This window comes from Homo sapiens, chromosome 2, assembly GCF_000001405.40.
Source record: "Homo sapiens chromosome 2, GRCh38.p14 Primary Assembly".
NCBI lineage: Eukaryota > Metazoa > Chordata > Mammalia > Primates > Hominidae > Homo > Homo sapiens.
The window spans coordinates 177594911-177621911 of record NC_000002.12 but is presented as its reverse complement, the minus strand read 5'-3'; the positions used below and the strand labels follow the sequence as shown (position 1 = coordinate 177621911).

The window sequence follows — 27001 nt, the reverse complement described above, 5'->3', positions numbered from 1 at the left end:
AGACATACCTGCCAACTAGTTTTAAAAGAGAATGCCAAATAGATTGTACATACAAATAGAATATGGGACTTGATCATGGCATATTTTGGCAGGCAGAACATAAGTATGCTAAGAACCAAGCATCATGCTTTTTGTTCCTATCTATTTCGCCTAAATGAAACTCTTCTACGTGATAAACATGTCTCCCTTTGTGTAGCAAAATCCACCCTGAGTCCAACTCAAATTTCATCAAACTACAATTCCTTTCTACAAGTCACCAAATCACTTTATTGCAACCACCAAATGCTTTCCTATTAATTGAAATGGTATGATACACTTACTTTTTGATATATCCTCCAGGTTTTCAAGATCCTATTGCAAACAAAATGATGCTTTATGACACTTTATAATATTCCACCCTATTTCATTCTTTCCATAATTTCTATCATTAAACAGCCTTCTCTCACCACCACGCCCAACAAAACTAATCTATTCCCCAACTGCCTATCAGAGACCAGATAAAAGTCAGTCTATCACAGCAGCAGTGATGGTCATGCCAATTTCACAGTGTGATTTGTGCACTCATTTCATTTTGAAAATGACCCTGCCCTCCATCTGTCTAAGCAGAATGTCCTGCTCTTTTCAAGCCAGGCCTCTGGAGCAGCATCACATGAAATAAGGAGGAAGAGACACAGAACGGCCTCCCTCCTGCCCACTTCAGCCACCATGCTCACAGGTACCCACACAAAGAGGAGAACCCCAACTGAATCCTGGTAGGGATCCCAGAAATTTGGAGGAGAATATAGTCCTTTTATTTTCATACATTTTCAAGAAGCCATTTGAAGATGATGTAAATACAACTCTGCAAAACAGAGAGAAAGACTAATGAAGGGCAATTTCCCATTCCCATGTTGTCATCTCACCTTAATTTAATAGCAAATTACCTAAGGTAACAGTACATATATAAGAATTTTAAAATACTGAGCCTTGCGAGGCACAGTGGCTCACACCTGTAATCCCAGCACTTTGGAAGGCCAAAGTGGGAGGGTTGCTTGAGGCCAGGAGTTCGAGATGAGCCTGGGCAACATGGTGAGACCCTATCTCCATTAAAACATTTTTTAAAAAAGATTAGCCAGGCATGGTTGTGCACCTGTAGTCCCAGCTACTCAGGAGGCTGAAGCATGAGGATCACTTAAGCCCAGGAGTTCAAGGCTGCAGTGAACTATGATCATGCCACTGCATGTCAGCCTGAGCAACAGAACAAAGCCCTGTCTCTAAAAAATAAATAAATAAAATACTGAGCCTAAATTCCCAAGGGAGAACCATCAGGCAGCCTGCTGTAAAGAAGTCGATGCACCCCTTCCCCCAATTTATTACTGAGCAGTATCCTCTACCCATGTACCTCCTTGGGCTTAAGACTCTAAAAGGGTGCACCAAGAGATCAGATTGAAAGAAGCCTCAGAATAGAGTTATAGTAATATTCCACAGTTGCTTTCTGTGGGGTCTTAGGTGAGCCAAAGTCCCATTCAATCCTGAAATGGGTGCAGTTTCCCTTTCTTGGAATTGATGCACTGGGAAGCTCCTTGTCTAGTTCCAGCCAAAAAGACCCAACTCTGCCAATTCCTGGCAAGGGAGAAGACTGAGTAAGTACATAAAGTCAGTCATATGATGATATGAGCAATCACACACCTACTAAAAATCTCCTTCCAGTGATACTGGGTAAATACGAACTACACAACTCCAGTAGTCACATCTGCTCACAGCTGGAATCAAGGCCTAGAAGTTCAAAGTTTACTAACTACACAAAGTTAGTTCATTGTTTTAATGGAGAAACAAAGACAATAATATTCCTTATACACACTTAGCACCAAACAATGGGCCCTTACAAACTCACGTACATGAGATACATGGATTGGGTTATTCATCAGTCACTATTTCCTATTGAAATTGGTTATTGGATATCATGGTTCAGCCCCTACCTACCTAGATGTGGCTTTAAACAAACTATTAATTTAATAGTTTGATTTAATTAATGTAATACTTAAATCTTTAAACCTTTCTAGCCCACAGACTTCTTAAACTACAATATGCAGAATGCAGGCTGCTTATTCAAATTAGAAATACTATATGTAAACAGTCTCTAATAGAGGTGCTATATGATATGGTTGACATCGTTATCAACCGTATGATAGCTGTGAAGTTTATATACAGAAAAGATTTATGGGCAGTAACACTATTATGGATGCATACAAAGGATTTGCAGTAATTATGTAGCAAACAACACACTTTTACTTGGATTAGGTTTATATTAGGTGCTAGAGAGACCAATGGATATCATGGGAGATGACAAAAGATACTGATTTCTTATTGGCAGAGACAGTTGGAGGACCACAGCAATGGATACAACCAAGTGTAAACGCCAACATATACTCAGTAATTTTTTTTTTGTCATGGAAAAGGAGAGATACTGCGATCAAAAACAGATCCTCTCCCAGTACCAATTAAGATTCACAGCACTTTTTCCTTATTAACCTCTGGAAACCACCAAAATAAGAAGGATTTCTGTTTGCTGCTGTATTCTGTTCTTACAAACTGTGCCCTCGGGGTAGCATAAGAACCTGCTCTAATTCCAAGGGAATTCAAGGAGTTAACTCCCTTTTGCCATCCCGCTCCTTTTATTAAAAGGTCCTTTTATTGTACTGACGATCTCTACTTTATTAAAAGTAAGCCAAACGCCAGCATTAGTATAGACCACACCAATGCACAAGGCTCAAAATCGCCAGAACATGGTGCCGGAAATCTTCCTCCGATTCGCTAGAGACCGAGGTGGCACAACAGACACAGAGAGTGCCCCTCATCTTTAGGGGGCAGGGAAGGCGAGTGACCGTGCGTCCACACGGGCCGCGAGTCGGGTCGGTGCAACAGGGACTACGCCTCCCAGCATGCAGTGCGGCCACGCCTGCGCAGCGGCGCCACAGGAACGATGCATGCCGGGACCGGGAAGATTCAGTCTCTGAACGGCCCGGAGTAGTCGTCTTTCCCCTTCTGACTGCCGCCACGCTGCAGTCCAGAATATTTGAAGATCAAACCGAACTTGAGAGACTAACGAGAACGGTCCCTTTTTATTCCTAACAGATTCCTTCCGTGGCAAAGTAACCCGTCGTCTTCCGTTTCCGGTTGCCCGGTTGCCCTGTTGCCGTGGTAACCGCACGCATAACAGCCGTGGTGGTTATGGCTGGTCTGAGCGGCGCGCAGATCCCCGACGGGGAGTTTACCGCGCTAGTGTACCGGCTCATCCGCGATGCCCGCTACGCCGAGGCGGTGCAGCTGCTGGGCCGAGAACTGCAGCGGAGCCCCAGGAGCCGTGCCGGCCTGTCGCTGCTAGGCTACTGCTACTACCGCCTGCAGGAGTTCGCGCTGGCGGCCGAGTGCTATGAGCAGCTGGGCCAGCTGCACCCGGAACTGGAGCAGTACCGCCTGTACCAGGCCCAGGCCCTGTACAAGGCCTGCCTTTATCCGGAGGCCACTCGGGTCGCCTTCCTTCTCCTGGATAACCCCGCCTACCACAGCCGGGTCCTCCGCCTGCAAGCTGCCATCAAGTATAGCGAGGGCGATCTGCCAGGGTCCAGGAGCCTGGTGGAGCAGCTGCTGAGTGGGGAAGGGGGAGAAGAAAGTGGAGGCGACAATGAGACCGATGGCCAGGTCAACCTGGGTTGTTTGCTCTACAAGGAGGGACAGTATGAAGCTGCATGCTCCAAGTTTTCTGCCACACTGCAGGCCTCGGGCTACCAGCCTGACCTTTCCTACAACCTGGCTTTGGCCTATTACAGCAGCCGACAGTATGCCTCAGCACTGAAGCATATCGCTGAGATTATTGAGCGTGGCATCCGCCAGCATCCTGAGCTAGGTGTGGGCATGACCACCGAGGGCTTTGATGTTCGCAGTGTTGGCAACACCTTAGTTCTCCATCAGACTGCTCTGGTGGAAGCCTTCAACCTTAAGGCAGCCATAGAATACCAACTGAGAAACTATGAGGTAGCTCAAGAAACCCTCACCGACATGCCACCCAGGGCAGAGGAAGAGTTGGACCCTGTGACCCTGCACAACCAGGCACTAATGAACATGGATGCCAGGCCTACAGAAGGGTTTGAAAAGCTACAGTTTTTGCTCCAACAGAATCCCTTTCCTCCAGAGACTTTTGGCAACCTGTTGCTGCTCTACTGTAAATATGAGTATTTTGACCTGGCAGCAGATGTCCTGGCAGAAAATGCCCATTTGACGTATAAGTTCCTCACACCCTATCTCTATGACTTCTTAGATGCCCTGATCACTTGCCAGACAGCTCCTGAAGAGGCTTTCATTAAGCTTGATGGGCTAGCAGGGATGCTGACTGAGCAGCTTCGGAGACTCACCAAGCAAGTACAGGAAGCAAGACACAACAGAGATGATGAAGCTATCAAAAAGGCAGTGAATGAATATGATGAAACCATGGAGAAATACATTCCTGTGTTGATGGCTCAGGCAAAAATCTACTGGAATCTTGAAAATTATCCAATGGTGGAAAAGGTCTTCCGCAAATCTGTGGAATTCTGTAACGACCATGATGTGTGGAAGTTGAATGTGGCTCATGTTCTGTTCATGCAGGAAAACAAATACAAAGAAGCCATTGGTTTCTATGAACCCATAGTCAAGAAGCATTATGATAACATCCTGAATGTCAGTGCTATTGTACTGGCTAATCTCTGTGTTTCCTATATTATGACAAGTCAAAATGAAGAAGCAGAGGAGTTGATGAGGAAGATTGAAAAGGAGGAAGAGCAGCTCTCTTATGATGACCCAAATCGGAAAATGTACCATCTCTGCATTGTGAATTTGGTGATAGGAACTCTTTATTGTGCCAAAGGAAACTATGAGTTTGGTATTTCTCGAGTTATCAAAAGCTTGGAGCCTTATAATAAAAAGCTGGGAACAGATACCTGGTATTATGCCAAAAGATGCTTCCTGTCCTTGTTAGAAAACATGTCAAAACACATGATAGTCATTCATGACAGTGTTATTCAAGAATGTGTCCAGTTTTTAGGACACTGTGAACTTTATGGCACAAACATACCTGCTGTTATTGAACAACCCCTCGAAGAAGAAAGAATGCATGTTGGGAAGAATACAGTCACAGATGAGTCCAGACAATTGAAAGCTTTGATTTATGAGATTATAGGATGGAATAAGTAGTTATGACTGATAGTGGCTTTTTTCAAAATGGCTTTCTTACGTACCACACTTTTTTTTATCTGTATTTAGCCTTGGCATCTTTATATTTGTCTTATTTTGAATCTTATCCACTTTGTAAGAACAAGTTTATGTTTGAGCAACTTTTTCATTTAATCCAGAAGGGTAGGGACTATGCAGTGTAAGCTGCATCACTTCTGCTTTCTTCCTACTAGTGACAATCATCTGGTCTTGCCCTCAAGCAACAATTGCTAGAGTAACATCTTTGTATAAGCAAGTAACCCCAGATAGAGTTGACGTTTCAGCTTTGGGCTGTCAAAAGGGTATGTCATGGACCAAAGCACTGTTAGTACGGGTATGTTTGCATTTGGTCACTGATATGTAAATGACTGCTAGCCCACGGCTGGACCACTTCTCAATCAGCAAATAAAGCCATGTCTATTTTGCTATCTCAGCATAGACTATGCTGTCTGATAAATCTAATTCTTAACTCTATTTCTCCAGTTTTTTAGTCCTTTAACTTTCTGGATTGCAACGAAGTCTAGTTTAGACCTCTAAGCCCTTTTAGAAGTACAAGTATAATGGGAATTTCTTTTCTTGGTTCTTTTCAGGTTATGAGGTTTGGTCAGTGACAAAATTTTTTTTCATAATTTGGTTGATTGGTTGCTTCTTAAGTTTTATAATAAACGTTTTTCTTCATGTTCTATTTTTGATTTTACAGAAATGATTTTGCCTCCTTGTGGATACTGACATATATTAAGTGTGGAAGCTTATTAATATTTTTGGTTTTTTAAAAACTGAAATTTTTAATTTTTACTTTTTAATTTTTTAGGAAAAAATAAGCACTGAACTGAGAATGAGAAGAATAAAAGTATGAGTTCCATACCTTCTAATTTTAGGCTGTCAGAAATTCCTTTATTCTTTGGGATTTCACAATCATTTGAACTATCAGAAGCCTTTACAATTACTTTTAGCTGTAACATCCGATTCTGTATAAGCCACATAGAAAAAAGTTGCCTTTCTTTTTTTATGACCTGGATATATAAGCAAATCAGCTAGGAAATATATAATTGTATTTTATATTAATGTTTTCTAGGATTTTGGCTTACAGTAAATGTTAACCCCTATGGTAAGTGATTGTTATTGTTGGATGTTATACTGATTATTAATAAGAAATTTGGATTTTTGCCTTTTTACCTGGAATTTTTGCTTACAGCCGTAGCTATGAATATATATAGGGTGGTCCCCAGTCTCTGTTATGGTTGCGCATAAATTAATAATTTTATAAGTATTTAGAAATGGTATAATTCTCTTAACTTCCTCTTTCAGTTTTTGTACTAATGTTTGTTTTTGTTCGGGAAGAGGAGATTTGCTTTTAATCCTTCCAAAAAATGATGAACCACCGTTCCATTCAGTAGTTTGACAAGCTGTTATAATGTGTATTTTTTCCTCAATTATTCTTGAAATATTTAGAGCCTCTCCTGCTTCTAACATGAAGGCCTTTAGATGCCAGTCTGCCAGAAATCTGGAAACAGAGGAACCGGTGAAGTGAAGATGTAATGGAGATTTAGCTAATGATGTACTTCACAATCCACCTTGGATCTCCTGCATGTCCAAATCTCAGTAGTTAATCAAGTGTCTGCTGCCATTAACAGAACAGAAGTAATGGATAACAGAATGGAAATAAGAGATGCCAGAACTACTTCCATAACTAACTCACCAAATCAAATCATCAGTCCTCATATTCTTGTTTTATTTAATACAAGGAGAAGAGGCCATGCACTTTCCAAAAGGTCAAAGCCACATAGAATAGGAAGGCAATCTCTAGTTTAAAGCTTTCTCTTGGAGTGTTTTCTCCCCCTGTCTTCAAAGGGTCTACTTGAGAGATAGTGGTGTTTACTGCTGCAGCATGTATCACAAGATAAGAAATGAAAAATCAATCTTTCTTACCACCCTGTTCTCTTTCCCTTTTTTATCTTTTCCCTTTTGTCAATTATAGAATTATAGGGACATTTTTCTCTGATAGCTGGAAGTTGAACCTCAACCAGGTATAAAAGATGCATAACAACCTTTTAGCAGTAAGTGTCAAGTGAGTGAGCACTATGATTATCAAGGTGACTTTGGAAACCTTTTAAAAATGCATTTTTGCAAAACAAGATAACATATATTGATAAAAAGTGACTCTCAGATTGGTAATGCCAGAAAAAATTTTAAGAGGACTCACCAAAAGTACTAGATCTATGTAAGTTGTAGAATAGAGTGAAGTTTTTTTATATATTTGTGGTAGCCTCCATCTTTTAAACTTTTTGAACTCAGTAGAAAAACAGACTGAAATTTTAAAGACATGCAGTATTTGTATCATTTTAAATTCTGTAACACTGGGAATTAAATATACTCAACTTTAGAGGACACTTGCCTTACTGTAATCTATAATCATTTTATATTGAAAAATAGGGCCAGACATTAGCCAAACGGTAATTAATTTACTAGCCATAGGTATAGTGTTTAATATTCTCTTGGGGAGTGAGTCTTTACTAAGTGATTACTCTATACTTGATACCACTATTAATTGAGGTTCTTTTGGTTGTTTAATTAAATCAGCTCCTTTGGATTTGGGCCAAGATTGATCCACCACATACTGAAATCCGTTCTACAACATCATAATGTGTATTTACTAGAAAAGGACTTGCTTCATAAGGAAAAATTATTAGAATATAGAGACTTATAAGTACATTTCTAGTGTGAAAAATAAGCATTTGTTAGTTTAAGTGAGACCTGCCAATAACTTGATTGCAAATATTAATATCATGTGAACATATAAAATGGGCCCAAATCCTTGTTCAAAAGTGAAATTTGCACGTTTGTGAAATAAAACACATCAATATCAATGACTGAATACCTTAATTCAAAACAGCAAATGGCTAAAATTATACTATGCAAGCAGGACCCTAGTAAGTTATGTGGGAAAGCATTTATTGCTGCTAATATTTTATTTTCAATTATTTCATTAGGAGAGTCAAATGCTTAAGATAGAGGACACATGACTAAAAGTTTCACCAGCACTCATGGCATCTGCTATAAAACATGTGTCCACAGAGTACCCACAAACTCTCAAGATCTTAAGTCTCAACAGTAAATTACTGGTTAGTTTTTCTAATCAGAGTCTCAACGTCTTAGTCCCAATTCTTCCAAATTTTCCAAAACCATACACTATAGTGTATATGGAAAGGAGAATATGTACTTTTGTGAATATAAAGTGTCTGTTCCATTTTTAGTCATGAAGTACCATAGGAAGAGATGGTCACACCCTAACATTGTAAAGCAAAAGAAAGCTTCAGGAATCAGACCATAACAGCAACACTTTGCTGAAAAATATTTAATTAGAAGGCAATACCACATACTCACATATGCTAAGGAGTGCAATTATTTTGTATGTTTACTGGAAAAGGCAAAAAATTTTTCTGTAGTTAAAACAATATTTTTGTTTCTAGAACTTTTGTTCTTGTACTGATTCATTACCATTAAACTGTTTTCACAAAATGCCAAAGAACAGAGGAGAGCTATACATGATTTGACCAAGACGCTGCAAGTAGTTTCAGAAACTGAGGAGACTATTTTTCTGACAATGTATATAAGATCTATAATGAAATGATTGGTAAAATTATAAAATGGTTCTGGAAATAATCATGTAAAATATAAAATGGGAAATTGTAAATGTGATTTTTTTACATTTGTAGATACGACCTAAATAGGTTCTTTTAAATTACAAATTAAGGATTAAGATAAACATCTGGAATGTGTCTGCAGCTAGAGTCTGAACAATGAGGGCTTAGACCAGTTCATCTCTTGAATCATAAAACTGAGGCTCAGAGAGATTAAGATGTCTTCCCCGGGATAATATGATAGAGCCAAATAGGATCCGGGCAAAGCCTGGATCAGAATTCAGGGCGTCTTACTCAATTCTCCTGCTCTTTCCACTCTACTACCTTTCTCTTAGGGCAGGGACCCCTCTTAGGGGCCTACAGGGCCCTCCAAGTATAGAAATAAAGGAAAATCCTGAGTTCCTACAAGGGAAGTTCCAGCCACCTAGCTAGCCCTGAAAAGCAAATAAGCAACTTGATGAGCAAGAAGGTATTAGTAACTTAAGGCGATAGCCAAAGAAATTGGAATCACAGGATGTTTGGTTCCCCTATAGGAACTAGAGATAACATCTTAACATATGTCCTTGAATTGTTTTTCAGAAACCCAGACCCCCACCAAACAGATCTGCCTGCACATAGACCTCAGATAAGGGGGAACTGAGGACTGAACTCTGACTGCCGTTCTTTATGGTCTAAATTTTTTTCTGAGGTGCCTGGAGGAACCCACACCCAGGAGCCAGAGCTTACATTCTTTTCTGCTGACCCCAGAATTTTTAAACAAACCTTCTTTTCCATAACCAATTGCAAATTAGAAAATTTTTCAATCTATCTATGATCACTAAGTCCCCACTTCAAGATATCCTGCCCTTTTAGGCCAAACCAATGTGTAAACGCCATATATTGATTTACAATTTTGCCTGTAACATCTGCTTTCCTAAAATTTACCCCTGCCTTTAAAAAACCCTTGCTTGCAAACCATAAGTCAGGACTTAAGCAAGAACTGCCTGATCCTCCTTGCTTGGCACTCTGCAAATAAATGTCCTCCTTTCTCCTGCTGCAAACCTCAGTGTGGATGTTTGGCCTTATTGTGCCAGGAGGGCGAATCCCTGTTCAGTTCCATAACACCTTCTCTTAGGTATTTTTTGTTTTTTTATTTGTTTGTTTGCTTTCTTTACAAATTTTTCTATCAGTGCTAGGCATTTCTTTTCCCAGAGCTATGACTTTTGCCACTTCAGTTCCTGCTGATAATTTAATCAGTGGTTTAATAGGCTTTTTCCAAAATACACTTAGTGAGAACATTCCAGGGCTGGCCTAAATTACACTATGGTTTACAAAAGTGCGTTGAGGGTTCCTGAGCAGGTGTGCTGTGCTATTTGCAGCAGCGCAGATTTAGCTGCGGTGCAATCTGGGCTGGGCAGAAAGATTATTGACTCACCTGTTGTTTCATCACTGCTTTGAAAAAAATCACCTTATATGATCCTTCTTCAAGTCAGTGATTTTCTTCTCTTCATTATAGTTTCCAGCCACCAAACACGTAAAAATGGCTGTCAGAAGGCTTCCCTACACCTTAAGTGCAAAGAGTTGTGACTCACTTATCCAAAAATCCCAGCATAGAGCCAGCTGATTTCACAAGTATTTACAAAGTGTTACCAGAGACTTTTGAGGCCCCGTAAGGCTTTACCTTTACTTGCAAAGTCCGTTTGAGCTAAACTCCTAAACACCCTCTTCCAGGAGATTGATTGCTCATTTTGCTTAGGTTTTGAGGAGGAAAAATTAAAAGCAAGCAATTGAGCCATGATTAAGTCCCTGTTATTTACCTTCTTTTTTCTTTTTGTACTAATAATTCTTAGTCCACATTCTACATGAGAATCAGTGGGTAAACTTTTTAAAAAGTAAAGATGCCTTGGCTCTAACCCCTAACAATTCTATTTCTATTTATGGAGATGGGAGTGGGAGGAGGGGTCAGTTTTTTTGTAAGTCCCCCAGGTAACTCTAATGTATAGCAAAGGTTAAGAACCATTGTTCTGTATACACACAGTAGTGACCATGTGACTGCTCTGTGCTGGTGTGAAGGTTGTGGTGCAACATGTTTGAGAATAAAGTAATCCTGATGCCCAACCTAAAGAAATGATGCAAAATGAATAAATGGAACAAATCAAAGGATCTGAATTTTTTTTAGAGGCACTTAATCTGGGGTATTCCGATTCATTAAAAAATAGCTTTTAAACCAGTGAAACTTTTTAAAAACATTTTTTTAAATCATACATTCAATAATTCTTAAGGAAACTTTGGCTTTCATAGAAGGAATTTTAAAAATACTGAAGTAGCTAAAAGCTATACAATTTGATAGTGGAAGCTAAGAAGAGTTTTCAAAATTTAAGAACATGAAAATATTCTCTTTGTTTTCAAAGACTCATAAATGTCATTTGCTGTTGTAGGAGAGGAAAATTTTTCTACTGTCCTCTTAGGGTTTTCAGCTAGGATTGACGTAAGACAGATTAAACAGGAGAAAAGCAAATTTTATTTACATATACACGGGAGCCCCCACAAGGACAATGAAGACCCAAAGAAGTGGCTAGGCCTAAGCAGTTATACAGTAGTTTGAACAAAGGGTGGAAATTGTGGAAAAGTAACTAGGAAGATAAGTTAGTTTAACAAAGTTTGTACAGATTTCTCTCAGCCTCAATTCCCTGTCTCTGGTGATAAGCATGTTGTTTCTTTTGTACTGGTATAGGGAGGGTATCTTCCACTTGGGAGTTTCATCTACTGCTTTCGGGAAGAAAAGGGGAGATTAGAGTGCCCTTCCTATACCTGCTATTTCTCAAGTGCCTCTATTTCAAAACAACTAAGATGCCAAGGCAGCATATTTTGGAGTGGCATGTCCTGAATTCCTTCACTGTCATCTCTACTTAGTTTATTAGTTTAGCTTTGCTAAAGTCAAAAGTGACTGTGCATTATCATAACCATGCTTACAAATGCTTTTGGTTGACTTTGGATACACCCAATTTGTTCTCCTAATATTTGAGCCATATTCAACTGTTCTTCCTATAAATTTGGATTCCTCCAAACCAGACTCCAGTCCCACATATGCATTTATAGATACACATACATTTTTTAAAAATTTGCATTGGAAATTAATAATACTCAATGGTTATGTTGATTTATTTATTTTGAGACACGGTCTCACTCTGTCATCCAAGCTATAGTGCAGTGGTGTGATCATGGATCACTGCAGCCTTGACCTCCTGGGATCAAGCAATCCTCCCACTTCAGCCACCCGAGTAGCTGGGCTACAGGCACACACCACCACACCTGGCTAATTTTTTTTTTCTTGTAGATACAGGGTTTCACAAGTTAGCCAGGCTGGTCTCGAACTCCTGGGCTCAAGCTATCCATCTGCCTTGGCCTCCCAAAGTGCTGGGATTACAGGCAGGAGCCACTGTGCCCAGCCCTATATTGGTTTATTATTCAGTATGAATTCTCCAGCTTCACTCTGCCCCCACCCCCAAACATTTGGTCTAAACTGATGGTTCTCAAAATGTTTGACTGCCCAGTAGAATTATCTGAGAAGCTTTTAAAGCTCTCATGCTGTATTAGTCCACTCTTGCACTGCTATAAAGAATTAACTAAGACTGGGTAATTTATAAAGAAACAAGGTTTAATTGGCTCATGATTCCACAGGCTGTACAGAAAGGATGGCAGCATCTGCTTCTGGGGAGGCTCAGGGAGCTTTTACTCATGGTGGAAGGCAAAGTGGGAGCAGGCGTCTAACATGGCAGGAGCAGGACCAAGAGAGAGCATGAGGGCGGAGGTGCTACACACTTTTAGTCAACCAGATCTTGTGAGAACTCACCATCATGAGAACAGCACCAAAGGGATGGTGCCAACCATTCATGAAGCATCTACCCCCATGATCCAATCACTTTCCACCAGGTTCCACCTCCAACTCTGAGGATTACAATTGAACATGAGATTTGGGTGGGGACACAGATACAAACCATGGGGACACAGATACAAACCATATCACATGCACCAGGCTGCATCCCAAAACAACTAAAGAATTTCTGAGGGTGGAACCCAGGTATCTGTATTTTCCTGAGCTTTCAAAATGCAGCCAAGGTTGAGAACCGCTGGTCTAATTGATCACTATAATTTCCCTTTCCATGATTAATTTAGGAAAAGGCATGTGACCCAATCCTTACCAAGACACAGGAAGTCTCCTGGAAGGCTGCTGGGAAAGCTTTCTTTACCCCTTTGGAAAAAAAAAAAAAAAGGACATAAGAAAAAGTCTCTCTTCATCAAGCATTGTTGATCTGAATCTGGTGCCACCAGTTTGTGACCTTGATGGAGGGTCGTGGTGACTTTGGGTGAAGGTGACTTTGAAGATATCTTAAGAAACAGAAAGAATTTGAGTCCTTGATGATCCTGGAGCCTGACCCACCTCTGAGTCTTCAGTAGAATGGAAATAATATCTTATTGTTTGAACTTGTTTGAGCCATATTTTTCTGCTTCTTGTCTCTAAAAGCACCCAGAAAACACCATTGAAAAAGATTTTCTCTTTGACAGAACTCTACTCAGGCTCCCCTGAACTTTTCAAGTAGGCCTTGACTTTTGGACTTCCGTATTTGTCCCTACACTGTCCAGTTTTTTTTTTGTTGTTGTTGTTTTGTTTTTTTGAGACGGAGTCTCGGTCACCCAGGCTGGAGTGCAGTGGCGTGATCTCGGCTCACTGCAAGCCCCGCTTCCCAGATTCATGCCATTCTCCTGCCTCAGCCTCCTGAGTAGCTGGGACTACAGGTGCCCACCACCACACCCGGCTAATTTTTTGTATTTTTAGTAGAGACGGGGTTTCACCGTGTTAGCCAGGATGGTCTCAATCTCCTGACCTCATGATCCACCTGCCTCAGCCTCCCAAACTGCTGGGATTACAGGCGTGAGCCACCGTGCCCGGCCTGCACTGTCCAATTTTAACAAGAATCCTTGGCTTAGTAGACTCCCTCTTCCTTCATATCTGATTACCCTCCAGATGTTACTGGGTCTCTTATTCTCCACCATTCCTCAGGTATGTCTGATCACCCCAGCCTGCTTTCAGCAAGAATCCTATTATGTCAGTCTGGCCAGAATCCCCACTTAGCCCTAATGTCTGCTCTTAGTACTTTTCCATCCATTGATCCCCACCCTGCTCCTTGGCTATAAATTCCCACTTGCCCATGCTATATGTGGAGTTAAGCCCAATCACTCTTCCCTACCGCAAAATCGCATTGCAGTGGTCCTGTATACCTATGGAGGTAGTTCCCACATACACACCTTAAATAAAGGATGCCTCATCATCTAAAGTGTCATTGAATTTCTTTTGGCATCACATATACGCCATACATTTTGACTATTGTTCATAGGGTGATGAATCTTTATGCGTATTCCCAAACACTCTGGGAGTATGTCTTCCTTGAGACCCAGCGTCACTCCTCAAGTTCAGGTGAGTAGGACAAAATTAACTGACCTTTGTAAAGATGTTACCCAAAACCTTGACTTCATTAGCATTAACTGCTCATCAAGTCTTTTGAAATTGCAACAGCTACTCATAAAATTGGATATGAATTCACTGGAAGAGCATTCACTTATGTAGAGTTAAATAGAGAGTTAAATTGTTCCACCCAAAGAACTAAGTCTAAACCTTGCTTACTGCTTCTTGGCAAAAACACAAGGTAAATACCAATGCATACAGCAAGTCACAGAAAACATATTCCCCAGTTTTAGAATTTCCTCCACATTCACAAAGGTGATTTCAGTAAAATCTCAGTAACGATGAAAGAATGAAAACAACAGCAGGATTTAGCGTTGAAGTGAGACAACCTAATCTATTCTCTGGTGAGAAATGCTAATCTATGTACAGCACTATTGCAGTCTTGGCCCTTTCCAGCTATAAATCTGGTTAAGGGAAAAGCTTCATAAAAAGTAAATACTTTAGGTCTTCCTGATAATCCCCCTCAGCATTGCATTCCACTTATCAGGCCCAACTTAATTCTGAGTTGTTGGCTTATTTCGGTTCTCTAAAAGAAGGACGCTAGAAATTAAAATTCAAACCGGATGGTCCACATCACATCAGGGGATTGGGACAGTTGATTTACTCCTATAATCTCTTTAAACATCTACCAGGAGAGGTTCTAAGGCAGAATTTATTGCCTCCTCCTGCCATCTTTGGGCCTACAAAAAACGAAGCAAAATCCTTCTATGAAATCTGAAACTCCAGTCACTGATTTCCTGGCTGATGTCATTTCCAAAGCACGATGTAGCCCTGTGATAGTCACAGCGGTAATCTGCCTCTCTATGGGGTTTCCATCTGTTTGCCATCAGAAAGAACCTCTTTGGGAAGCCACGGTAAATGCAGAGAACCCATTCCTCCACATGGGTCCCAGAGTCTTGTATTAGCTTTTCAGTCTTCAGGATCAGCTGCTGTTAGAATTGAATATGCTTAAATTTCTGCTGTAACTTTCATTTTCATCCATGTTTGGTTTATCATGGGCTACTTGGTAAAAATCTTCCATATGATTCTGAAACTCTTATGCAAATGTTACCAAAATGAAAATTTAGCCGCTGCAGTTCTTTCCTTTGGGAGAAGAGTTTTCTATATAACTTTAGGTAATGCACTTCTTAATATAAAATGGATTGTACTTGAAGCAAATCTTTCTGAGCTCTTTAGGTCCAAAGTTGCTTAAAAGTGTAATATTTTGTGTTGAAAGGCTGTTTATTCACTTCTTTTTAAAATTAAAATTTAAATTTTACAGATGGGGTCTCACTATGTTGTTCAGGCTGGTCTTGAATTCCTGGCCTCAAGTGAGGCTCCCATCTTGACCTCTCTAAGTGCTGAAATTACAAGCATGTGCCACCATGCCTAACCTAGGTTATTTACTTCTTATTAAGTGTTAACAGAGATGATATAATAGGTTAGAGCCAAGAAAACAGATTACAATGACAAGACGTTTCAAAAGTGATCTTTTGTGGGTCAGCTTCAATACAGATAATTCACTGTAAATAATTGGGGGTTCACAGCAGTATCAAGTTATAACTAACTGGGAATTGTATTGATCCAGCCATAAATGCATAATGGTCGCTTTTTTTACTGAAGAAACAGAGCATGAATTAATTCCACAGGAATGTTTAATAAAGGAAACGATTTCATGAAGATCAGCCTTTTTCTCATCTCCATTCTTCCCTGCAAGTACTTCAGCCTTCACAGTGCCCAAACAAAAACAGACTCTATTCTGTTCCTCAAGGAATAATTTATTAAACATGTTTTTGTACATTGGTCTTTCTGTGTTTATGTGCCATTTCCTCAGAGAAGGCTGACTATGAGGATGAAATAGAAATAACATCACTGTTCAATATTCTTCAAGCCCCAATTCCTAGGAGATGACAAGGATGCAAAGGTCTTTTTATTCATCCTGTCAAATGCCAGTTTGTTTCAATGTGGTTTCCCTGAGTTCAGTGTCAAATGAGGCACAGTCCCCAGTGGGCAGTAGAGAAAGACGTTTTCCTCACCACACTGGAGAAAAGAAATATGAATACTAAACCAAATGACTGTCAAAGGATGGAAAAGAGATGAAGAAAGGCCTCAAGGAAGAGGATAAGGCAGAAGGGCAAGACCAGATGAAGAAAGGCAATCAACAACTTGCCTTTAAAGGAATGATGAAATTATGACTACCGTATTTACATGACTTAAACATGAGGTGCTACCTCAGTGTTTTGTAAAGCATGTTACACGCATGCAATAATTAATGGAGAAGAATTTGGCACACAGATGAACATTTTTCAAGAGCCATGTATTTATTTTATCGTGTGTATGGTTTATGTACCCATTCACACACATACGCAAACACATATATACCTAACACATCAAACCTGAAATTTCATGGATTCTATTGCTTAGGATGAAGCTAAAATAAAAATGGTTTTATTGAAGGAAAAATATTAAATAATACACATAGTACTAGGCTATGGCAAGAAGCATGACAGTGATAGTTGAATGACTGAAGTTTAAGAAATCTTGGTAAAGGCAAATGAAAGAGTTTCATGAGAGAGTGTGGGGAGAATCCTACTCTCCGCTGATCAAAAGTGTGATTTTTATTTACATTGATTCACTATTTTCAAAAAGCTAGCTTTATATTTTTAGTCAGATATTTTCACCACCTATGGTGAAAATTTCCTTGGGAGAATGCTGCCTAACAAATGTATTGGAAAACAACTGTAAACTTTCTAGAGCTGTATTTGCTTGTCTGAAGAGTTGAAACTTTATAAACTATGTTTTTTGTTGTTGTTTTCACATTTCCTTACCACTCTAATCTGTTCTGATATTAGGATTTTTCCCCCATTTCTCACAAACCTAACAAGTTCTGACTTTTTGGTGGATGACAAATCCTACCAGTAGAGGGGGCCTTATTCTGCTTGGAAAGTCCTCTAAGCTCAAGGATCTTTGCAGGAAACAGGATCACCCCTCCATTTGTTTGCTGACCACCACCTCCTTTTACTCTGACTTAGTCATTTTACAGTGTCAGCACCAGCCTGTGGATCTGTCTGACAGCGGATGTATTGTCACAGTGCAGTCTGAGATCCAGCCTTCAGCTTTTGTAAGAATCCAGTTAGCCACTGCACAAAACATCTTGTTAAAATCGTGAGTGTTCTGATCATTACCACATTTTTCATTATGTGTGTGGTAATCCTGGGCTGACTAGGCTGGGATCCAATTGTGTTCATTTTGAGTTGGATTCAAAGTTTTAGAGTTGGAAAGATTTTTGAAAGCATCTGTTCCAACTCTCTCATTCCACAAAGTATAGACACTCAAAGAACTTATGTCCCACAGAAACTTACTAGTGTGGAAATAGGATTATTCAGCTTATGTGAAAAAGTCCTTCACAGCCCACTTTAGTCCTGACTGCATCTAGGGGCTGTGCAACTTTGGGCAGGTCATTTAACCTCTGAGACTCCGTTTTCTTTTCTATAAAATAGGTAACCATTAAAATCACTTCAGTTCTATTCTATTGGGATCACTGCCACTAAGCATTTAGAGGCAGATGGAGTGCTAAGGTTGTAGAATTATGAATGATTTGTCTTTTACTGAAAAAAGTTTATAACTGTTGCATAATCTTTATCTTCTATTTGCAGGCAATTCTAAGGCCTCTTCTTGGCTTTATTGTTCCTTTCTGTTCTTTAAATTTGTAAATGATTTTTAACTTTATGAGCATAGAAGGCATTAAAATTCGACTATACCGGAACAAAAATTTATAATTCCAGCATGAATGCAACGATCAAAACGTTAATCCAGGACGGTAAGAGAATGTGGAAAAGTGAAAACAGTTGGCATATTAAGGTTGTAACAGTGTGAATGATTTGTCTTTTTTTAAAAAAAAGTTTATAATTGCAAAATAAACATAATTCAGAAGGATGAAAAAGTCCATGTAAAAAGCAATGCAGAGGTGAAGGATCCGCAGTCAGCCAGAGATTTTAGGGGGTGAAGCCAGAGCAATCAGCAGACCCGTGAGCGCCAGCACTTCCCACCAGACCCCACTCCTGGTGTGTGCCTCAGCCTTGCAATAAAGCTTCCCCTTCTTCAGGATATTGAATTGGGGTTCAGAGAAAGCCAGACATCATGTAATCAGTTTGAAATTACAGCGTATATCTAATAAAAGCCCACAAAACTTGCCAAAAAATTTTTTTTCCCTGAATCTCTTAAAGAGCAATGTGTTTGCTAAGAAAGGGGGACATGGGAAAGAAATCATGTATAAGAGAAACCTTTTCACAGAACCAACACAACTTCAGACCCGACACACATACTGGCAGATAGCTTAAAATAGGAACCCCGTCACCTTAGAAGGAGACAGAGAATCACAGTCTTCACCTTAGAGTGAGGAGAGCCCTGTTCAGCCTGGATCCCAGGAAGGTCCACTCCATCTCTTTTCCTTCTGTTGACATAGCTGCTCTGTGGAGAGGACAAAGGTCTTTCCTGCTAAGTAAAATCAATGCATTAGAGTGTTTTGATGATATACATTTGGATTGATTCTATTGGAGACACAGGGCTCACTTCATTGGATGTGGGTTCTGTGCAGTCACACAAAGCTTTACACATAGGAGGATCCTCTTCGTGCTTGGTTTAATCTCTGCTGTCACTGTTTTGAAATTCTTAATAATTTGTGAACAAGGGACCTCACATTTACATTTTGCACTGGGCTTTGAAAACTATGTAGCTGGTCTTGGCTGGGCGTTTTTTATGAGGCTGTTCACATTGTTACATAGATTTCTTACATTACTGCTCTATGGTTAACCCTTTCAACATACTTAGCCTGTTGGCCTGCTGTGGGCAACATGTGGCTTGCTGTGAGTTGGGTCTGTGTCTTCCCATGTGTTCTGTAGTGCAGAGTGTGGGTCCCTTCCATGCAGATTAGTCCTTTCACCTCTTGTAAGCTCCAGGTCAGCGCCTGTGTCTTGCACAGACAATCCAGCAGGTTCTTTGTCTCTTCCCCAAATGTCCAGAGCTTCATACTCTTTTTACCACGGGTGCTCTAAGAACACACCACCCTTTTAGAATCAACATTAAAGGTAGTTGAGTTCTTCTGAAAACTTTGCCTGGGTAAAACATTAGTGTAAATCTGTGCTACTTTGAGCATGCCACATTTACCCTCATAGGCCTTGTATGTGGCAAACGACGAAGAGACCTTCAGTGTTGTACTTCCTCTTGCTCAAACATCTGTTGATTTTTAACATTTGATTTTCTGCAGGTCAGGGTCTGCTTTAAGATTTGAAAGTGGCTCCTTTGAATGCGTAAAATACAATTTAACTACAGCTCTGTAGCATTTCTAGAGCCAAAACCCCATGGGCGACACAGCAAGAACTGGCAACCTCCCTACTCTAGCCCCATACACAAAAGGCCCGGAGGAGGATCAGAATGGCCCTTGGGTAACATAGCTCCTTTAATATTCTAGCAATAATTTTCTTCTCCCCTGCTCTCCTCCCAGAGCAGAACAGGAAAGAAACCAAACACTGTCCTATACAAAAATGGGGCCTAATGCCCCAAGGGGGGAAAGGAGGAGAGAGAGAAGAGGAAAGGTACCTTGCAAATTTGGGAAATACTTCTCAATATCAATGTAAACGCTATCATCCCAGAGCCTGGCACAGTGGCTCACGCCTGTAATCTCAGCACTTTGGGAGGCCGAGGTGGGCGGATCACTTGAGGCCAGGAGTTCAAGACCAGCCTGGCCAACATGGTGAAACCCTGTCTCTACTAAAAATACAAAAATTAGTCAGGAGTGGTAGTGGGTGCCTGTAATCCCAGCTACCCAGGAGGCTGAGGCAAAGGAGAATCACTTGAACCTGGGATGCAGAGTTTGCAGTGAGCCGAGATTGTGACCCTGCACTCCAGCCTGGGCGACAGAGCGACACTCTGTCTCAAAATAAATAAATAAGTAATAAACTATATTTTTCCTGAAAATGAATGTGGCCATTGGATGAGACTGGCAGACACAGCATAAGAGGTGAAGGGATGAGCACGCCTATAGCTCACCCTGGTAGAAATATTGAAAAATAAATCTGACCAGTAGACTTCAGACCCACCCTTCTCCATGCAACAAGAAATGCCCCCCGCCCCCCGACCACCACACACCTTATTGTTTCGTGAGGTTTAAATAGGAACAGCCATCACTAACCATTTGGTCGAAGTCCTGGATGGCTTCTGCAGACCAAATGACTAGGGGTGTTTGGGAGTGGAGTTTTCCTGAAAGGAATGGGTGTGCACCTGAAGGCTGATGGGCTAGTTGTGACCTAGGTTGGGAGTAGGAATCCACAAAGGGTCTTTTTCCTGTGAGCAGGCTTATATCTTTAAAGTGCATCCCGTTTGACATTCAGGGCAAAGTCCTAATTAGCAGGGTCGTGACTTTTCCTCTGCTATATAGGTTTTTCCAAACCACATGACCTTGGATGAACTGAAGGGGCAGAGTGTCAATCTTTGGTCCAGGGGAGGGACATCACCTTATCAAGTGGACCTGGACTCAGAGAGGTCAAGACAGAAAGTAGAATGAGGCTGTCTCCTTTCTCAGTCAGTGAGAGTTAGCTGCCCTTTGAAAAAGGAAAGGGCTGAGACTGGACATTCAGGTAACTGAAAGAAGCTGGGCTCCTATTGTGGCCTAGCAGGGGCCCTGCACTTCTTGTGTTCACCTTCAAAAGGAATTCTTTGGAAGGGGCATTCTGGAGCAAATCACCACCCAGTTTCTAAAACACCAAGGACACAGATAGCCTTAATGTTTCCCTCAGCGTAACTAAACTTCAGACGGGCTTCTTCCTGACTTGAGGCTCTGACCTCTCTTTTCTTAGAGCTTTTTTTTTTCTGAAACAGGGTCTTGCTTTGTCACCCAGGCTGGAGTGCAGTGGTGCTATCATAGCTCACTGTAGCCTTGACCTCCTGGGCTCAAGTGATCCTCCTACTTCAGCCTCTGGAGTAGCTGGGACCACAGGAGCGCACCAGCAGGCGTGACTATTGTTTTTTTTTTTTTTTAAATTGAGTCTCACTATGTTGGCCAGGCTGTATTTTCTTTAGGAAACTTTTAATTGTAAATTTGTTCTCTGCTCCTTTGAGATATACGTAAATCTTTTAAAACATCCCTTGCCAGTTTTACTACCCAGAAATGTGTTTGTCAAGGATCTAGGATCCATGTCTTTGAAATATAATCATCAAAGAAGATAGCTTTGAGCCTCATAACATATCCTGTGGAATGACAGGAACCTAACTTCAGTGGGTGCCTTGCTCCAAGTTGTAAAACTACCACCTGTCATAAAGATATGAGAAGTTTGCTTTCCTTTGGGTAAAGCCAGTTAGCAAACACAGATAGCTCACACATCTCCCTCTCACTCCAGCATTCAAAAACACACTGTTTCCAGTGGAGTTGAATTCAGACAAAGTTCTGGCCTCTCTCCCCTATTGCAATAGCCTTGAATAAAGTCTTTCTTGCCTGTTTAAATTTTGGGGGTGCCACTTTTGCTTTAACGTCAAAAATGTAAATAAACTCAACTAAAATGTATTGTGTCCCTATAAACCCCGGTTGTTTTGCAGCATGAAAAGATCCATGATTAAACTGCAAAAGGCAAAATGCCTCTTGGTTTGTGCATCTTCCTGGGGGATCATGGGACAGTGAGTTACAGTTGACACAGGAAGGAGGGATGTCACCACTATCGTAACTGAAACATTGTCAGGGAGCAGCAAGAGGCTGGCTGGAGCTGGGCTGGGACAGAGCACCTGCCTCACCCCAGGCACAACTCTAAGCACTTTGCAAATAATTCCTCATTTAATTCTTACAACAACCTTATGAAACAGATTTTATTAGTAGCCCCATGTTTTCAGGTAAGGTACACCTCTGTCACCACAGACATTTGGTAAGCATAGAACAACTGGCACTTTGGTTCCAGGATTTGTGTTTTAACCACTAGCTTATACTTCTAGATTCTGCAGCTAGAACCAAAGAGCACAAAACCCCAAGGCGTGGTAGCGGGCCCACTGAGACCTGATCAGGTAACCAGGTACATGTCAGAGAAGTCTCTATGTCTCTACCAGAGAGCAGTTTCCTATTTCAGGACTAAAGCAGCCCACAACAGGGCCACCACAGCATCTACCTGTGATGTCCCCTGTCTCACAGAATAGGACAATTCTGCATCTCACCAATTCCTAAGGTCAGAGGGGGTTTCTTCATAAAAGGCTATGTAGGTTCTTCCTATAAATCTGCCTTCACATGACCACAAGGCTGGCAGTTCTAGGAAAAAAGCCTGTTTTTCTGCAAAGGGTGAACAAAGGTGGCAGTGTCTGAGAACAATTGAACAGTATCAAAGCTGCTTCCTCCAGGCAGTTCTGAGGTGACCCTGGCTGATCTCTGCAGTACGTGCTGAAACTGAAATAGCCTTGACTACCATCAAGGGCAAACTAGATTCTGCACTCAGTATGCTGAGTACCTTTTCCCCTTGCCACTTGCTCCCTTACAACTTACTTTCTTCCCTTGCTGCTTCAAAAAGTGTGGGAGAAGCCCTTTGATAGAGCAAGCTGATGCTTGCACAAAGAGAAGTAAAATTGCTTTTGCACCTCAACTACACAAAAACTAATCCCTTTACTGGGTCCCCAAGGCCCCCAGTGTAGCCCCTGGATGTCTCTGCCTGGATGGCTGTAGGCTGGGGCACCAGGTTCACCATTTCATTCTTTGAACCTTCCTTTTTCCATCTGTGAAAAGAGAATCTCAATATTTTGCCTAGTACTCTCCAGAGCTGTTATGAGGCTCAAATGAGATAATGTATGTAAAGCACTTTATAAACTGTAAAATGCTTTACAAATGTAAGGGATTATTATAAACCACAATACACTGATGTTTTATGCTTTTATAAAACTACTGGCTGGAACTGCTGTAAGGGGAATCCCTCTGGTGATTTTTATTTTGGAAACAGGAGGACTTGGGTTTGCCTCCTTGCCAGGAATTGGATTCCTGGCAGCAGCTGTTTATTCCATTTCACTCCGCAACACACATATGGCCACAGCACGCCTCCTGCAGAGCTGACAATATGTACTACTGTGTTTGAGCACATCCACGGAAAGCATCCTTTCTCCACCCTCACTATTTCTAACTTGCCAAGTCTAACACCTAGGAAATACAGACTTTCAAATCGCATTTCACCACAGCAACATTTGTTTTCTTAGATGAGGTTTTTCCTCCTTAGCAACCAGAATTTTGCAGTCAAACTTTCACCACGAAAACAGTTTTCTCTTGAGCAGATTGAAAAAATTGGATGCTGCTTTATTCAACCTTTGCCATGGTTAAAATGAAAATGATATTAATATTTGTCCTGAGACCGGGCTTGGACCAGCTGAAAAGGATTAAAGTACTAACACGTTCTTTTTTCCTTGTACCTGCAGTGCACAGATAGACTGGACCAGCGCTGGGTGACGGTGCTCAATCTTTCTGCTGCAATGGAATGGAGTGCACTGACGCTCTGCACAAATATCTGCACAGGGCAGTGTTATAGATAACCACTCACTGCTCCCTGAGGGGCTTGAGATCATTCGATGTCTAAGAACTACTACTGGCTTGTAAATGTCAAGAGAAATTATGAACATTTGTAGAAAAGTAACTGTTTGACTAATTTCCTGTTCCATGGAGCAAACACACTGCCCCATGTATTTAGAATCTGGTGCTGACAGCCAGGCCATGGCAAGCTTCAAGGTTATAGGATCATAAATGGGATTAGATAAGCCAGACAGTGCGGCTCAGACTCCAGCACTTTAAAAATATTATTAAAACCCCAGGAAAGGCAAACAATTTTGAAGGGAAAGTAAGATATAACAGACTCCCACCAAGAGAGAAAAGAATCTTGGATATGATACTGGAACTTGGTAACCCCTTCCCCCACCCACCCCCCGCTGCCCCCGCCAGAGCACTTCCAGAGTGTATGTTAGTTAGCATCAATCAACATTTTAGGACATAAGACATAATGCAACAAGTCATGCTTTGTAGCTCAGACAGATTTTTCTATTTGATTTGATCCATGACGAAAAAAAAAAATTTTAAGGAAAGAACAAAGAAAACTTACTGAGAAAACCAAAATCGACAATAAGAAGTCGCAGTTCCAGAGAGCAGAATGCAGTGCCCCACCTGGAAGCCTTTGTGTTTTAAATTATCTGTTTCTTTTTAATTGACCAGATTAATTATTTCCACCTTGCTACTTGGCAGGTAGGGTCACTATTCCTTTTTACAGCATTAATGAACTCATTCACTTTTTTTTCCATGTAATTAAGACTATGAGTTGCAGATCACATTCTTAAATCGGCTTAGTGTACAGCCAATTCAGTCTTTATTAAACAAAATATATGACATCAGGTATTTCTCACTGAAAAAGAGTGTTGAGTTTCTACTGAGTTTTCCTCCAGTTGAGAGAGGAGAGTGGTGACTTTGTTCTTTTTATTTTTTGGAGAAGAAACACAGACCTTGTAAAGGTTGTAGCCTCCAGGGTGGTGTTTCATTCTTAATAGACTCAAAGTCTGGAGATTTAAAGGGCAGCTGATGGATTCATGTTCAGGTATTTCTATTGCCACCAAAATTCTGACCAGGTCCTTTCATGAGCTATTTGAAAAGAAATAACTTTGGGTATGCTGTTAAGTTAGTTATGTGAAATATATTGCCCTCTTCTGTTAGCTTTATTTCTAGGCCATTTAGGAAGCCCTAGGAATATTAAGAGTTTCTCAGTACATTGACTACAGTAGCCGAACACAGTACAGAAGGCCGTTTGCGGTGTCTACAGTCCTCCAGAGAGCAAACTTTAAGGCAATGCAAACTATCTCCCAAAGCATTTGGTTTCATTCAAGACTTCTGGATCTCAAGTTGATTCCCAGAGGAACTCAATTTGGAAGTAAAGGGTAAGGTGCTTTAATCTTTCCAGGACCCAAATGAGATTTCCTCCATTAAATTGAGTCTGGTGGAGCACCTGATCGAGAGAGAAACTGATGGGCAGACATCAAGAAATTGATGAACAGACATCTTAATGCTGGTCCTCTTTGCCACTAGCAAAAGACAAGCAACATACATTTAAAATATTAGGAATACCAGTGCATTGTTTTTACATATTAAAAGCTTGTGAGAAATTCATTGCATTGTCTGAATACAATGGGATTGGAATCAAAGGTACAGCAACTGATGTTTTTCCATTTATTACTCCACTTCTTAGTAGAAATGGAATCTTCTAGTTACAGGTAATAACTCTGTGACAAAAATACTCAAGTATGTAACATAACTTAGTTCCTAATTTTTTAAATGGAACCTATATTTGGCAATCTTCTGTCCCACAGTTGTAAAACTTGATGGTATTCTTATTTTGTTTACTGAGATTTCAGGTGGTTAACTGCTGTATTTCCTTCCAACCCAAAATTCAAGTGTAGTAATGATATCCATGTGCTTCAAAAAAGGTATGTTGGCCTGTGGTTATGTTTTAAACAGGTGCCTAAACACACATACTCACATAGGGTCACGGAGTCACCTGGAATGGCATTTCATCTTGGTCTCATGCACAGCAGACTGCACCCTGACAAAAAACATTCAAAGCTAATAGCAGCGTGGCTTAGGGTAACTCTGTCTTTTGCATTAAAAATGATAGTGTAAATGCTTCTTATCCATTGTTGTGATGGCTTGAAACAGTGTGCAGTCTTTATACAAACAGGCCATTTCAAATCCATGTTATAGGCATGTGTGGGAATGGCAGTGATGAGAAGAAAAACATCAATTTCAGGGAGTTGGAGTCTTTATGCATGCTGTTAGAGTCCTCTTTGTGGCTTGTACCCAAATTGTTTTGTGCTGGATACAGCTGAAGCCTGGGTCTCTGGAAAGCACAGTGATTAAAGGGAAATGTGCTCAGAGAAATAAGGCTTTCAACTTCTAGGAAGCCAACCAAACTTGGGAACCACCTCAATGTATTACCAGTCCTGGCTGGGCCAATTTCACCACAGGGACACAGTCATTTTCAATGACAGTGACTCCATTGCTCTGCCCCTCCAGAAATGCAATGCCAAGAAGCAAAAACATCTGTCTTGGGGAAATCTTTGGGCATCATAAAAGTTCCCTGCTCTCCCTTCAACCAGATTTTCCTCCTGCGCTGGCATGGAGGGCTGCCAGACACAGCACTTGGGGAAGCCTGCACATTAAGATGGCCAGCTCGGCTACCCTCCGTTCTGGGCTAGGTCCTCTGGAGTCTTATTTTCAGCAATCCCTCCCCTCTGTGCCTCCCTCCCTCCCTTTCCCACAATTAACTTACCTCCTTCCAGGCTGGAGTTGGGATCAGGACCTTTGGGGACACAAAGGGGAGAAAAATAGGAATGATGTCTGGGTTAGGTCTTGAGAGTTTATTCCACTGTATGAAATACTCCATACACCGTTTAAGAATAATAACCATGAGGGATCTATCTAGTGATTGCAGTGCTGGTTTTTGGTTGTCTGATGTTTGGTATAAATGCTATTTTATGCATTCAAATACAGATATATTTATTGGTGTAATAATGTTATTTTGGTCATCAGTTAACTTGGTTCTCCCTTTCCAATTCTACCCCGCCTGTCTCCTACCTATCTCCTGTGGGCGGCAAGCCACCCAGGTGC

At 40.9% G+C, this 27001-nt stretch overlaps 1 protein-coding gene and 2 long non-coding RNA genes across 3 annotated transcripts, besides 1 other annotated feature; 2 read left to right on the top strand and 1 right to left on the bottom strand.

Annotated features, from left to right (window-relative positions):
• IFT70A-AS1 (IFT70A antisense RNA 1) lies at window positions 2674–18852 on the bottom strand. Its single transcript, NR_198966.1, has 3 exons — window positions 18739–18852; window positions 4392–4611; window positions 2674–3624 (listed from the first exon to the last, which is right to left on the bottom strand). It is a non-coding gene; the product is annotated as an IFT70A antisense RNA 1 (long non-coding RNA).
• Window positions 2868–3097: an enhancer, noted in NCBI's record as "active region_16798". NCBI's record gives its function as "activates an Ori minimal core promoter by ATAC-STARR-seq in GM12878 lymphoblastoid cells {active_cell/tissue: GM12878}" and the evidence as "EXISTENCE:reporter gene assay evidence [ECO:0000049][PMID:35858748]".
• On the top strand, window positions 3170–8913 carry IFT70A (intraflagellar transport 70A). Its single transcript, NM_152275.4, has one exon. The coding sequence runs from the start codon at window positions 3211–3213 to the stop codon at window positions 5206–5208; it is 1998 nt and encodes a 665-aa protein (NP_689488.3). The 5' UTR covers window positions 3170–3210; the 3' UTR covers window positions 5209–8913.
• On the top strand, window positions 17235–25504 carry LOC124906098 (uncharacterized). Its single transcript, XR_007087317.1, has 3 exons — window positions 17235–17514; window positions 18006–18169; window positions 23779–25504. It is a non-coding gene; the product is annotated as an uncharacterized LOC124906098 (long non-coding RNA).
• The last annotated feature ends 1497 nt before the right edge of the window (window positions 25505–27001 follow it).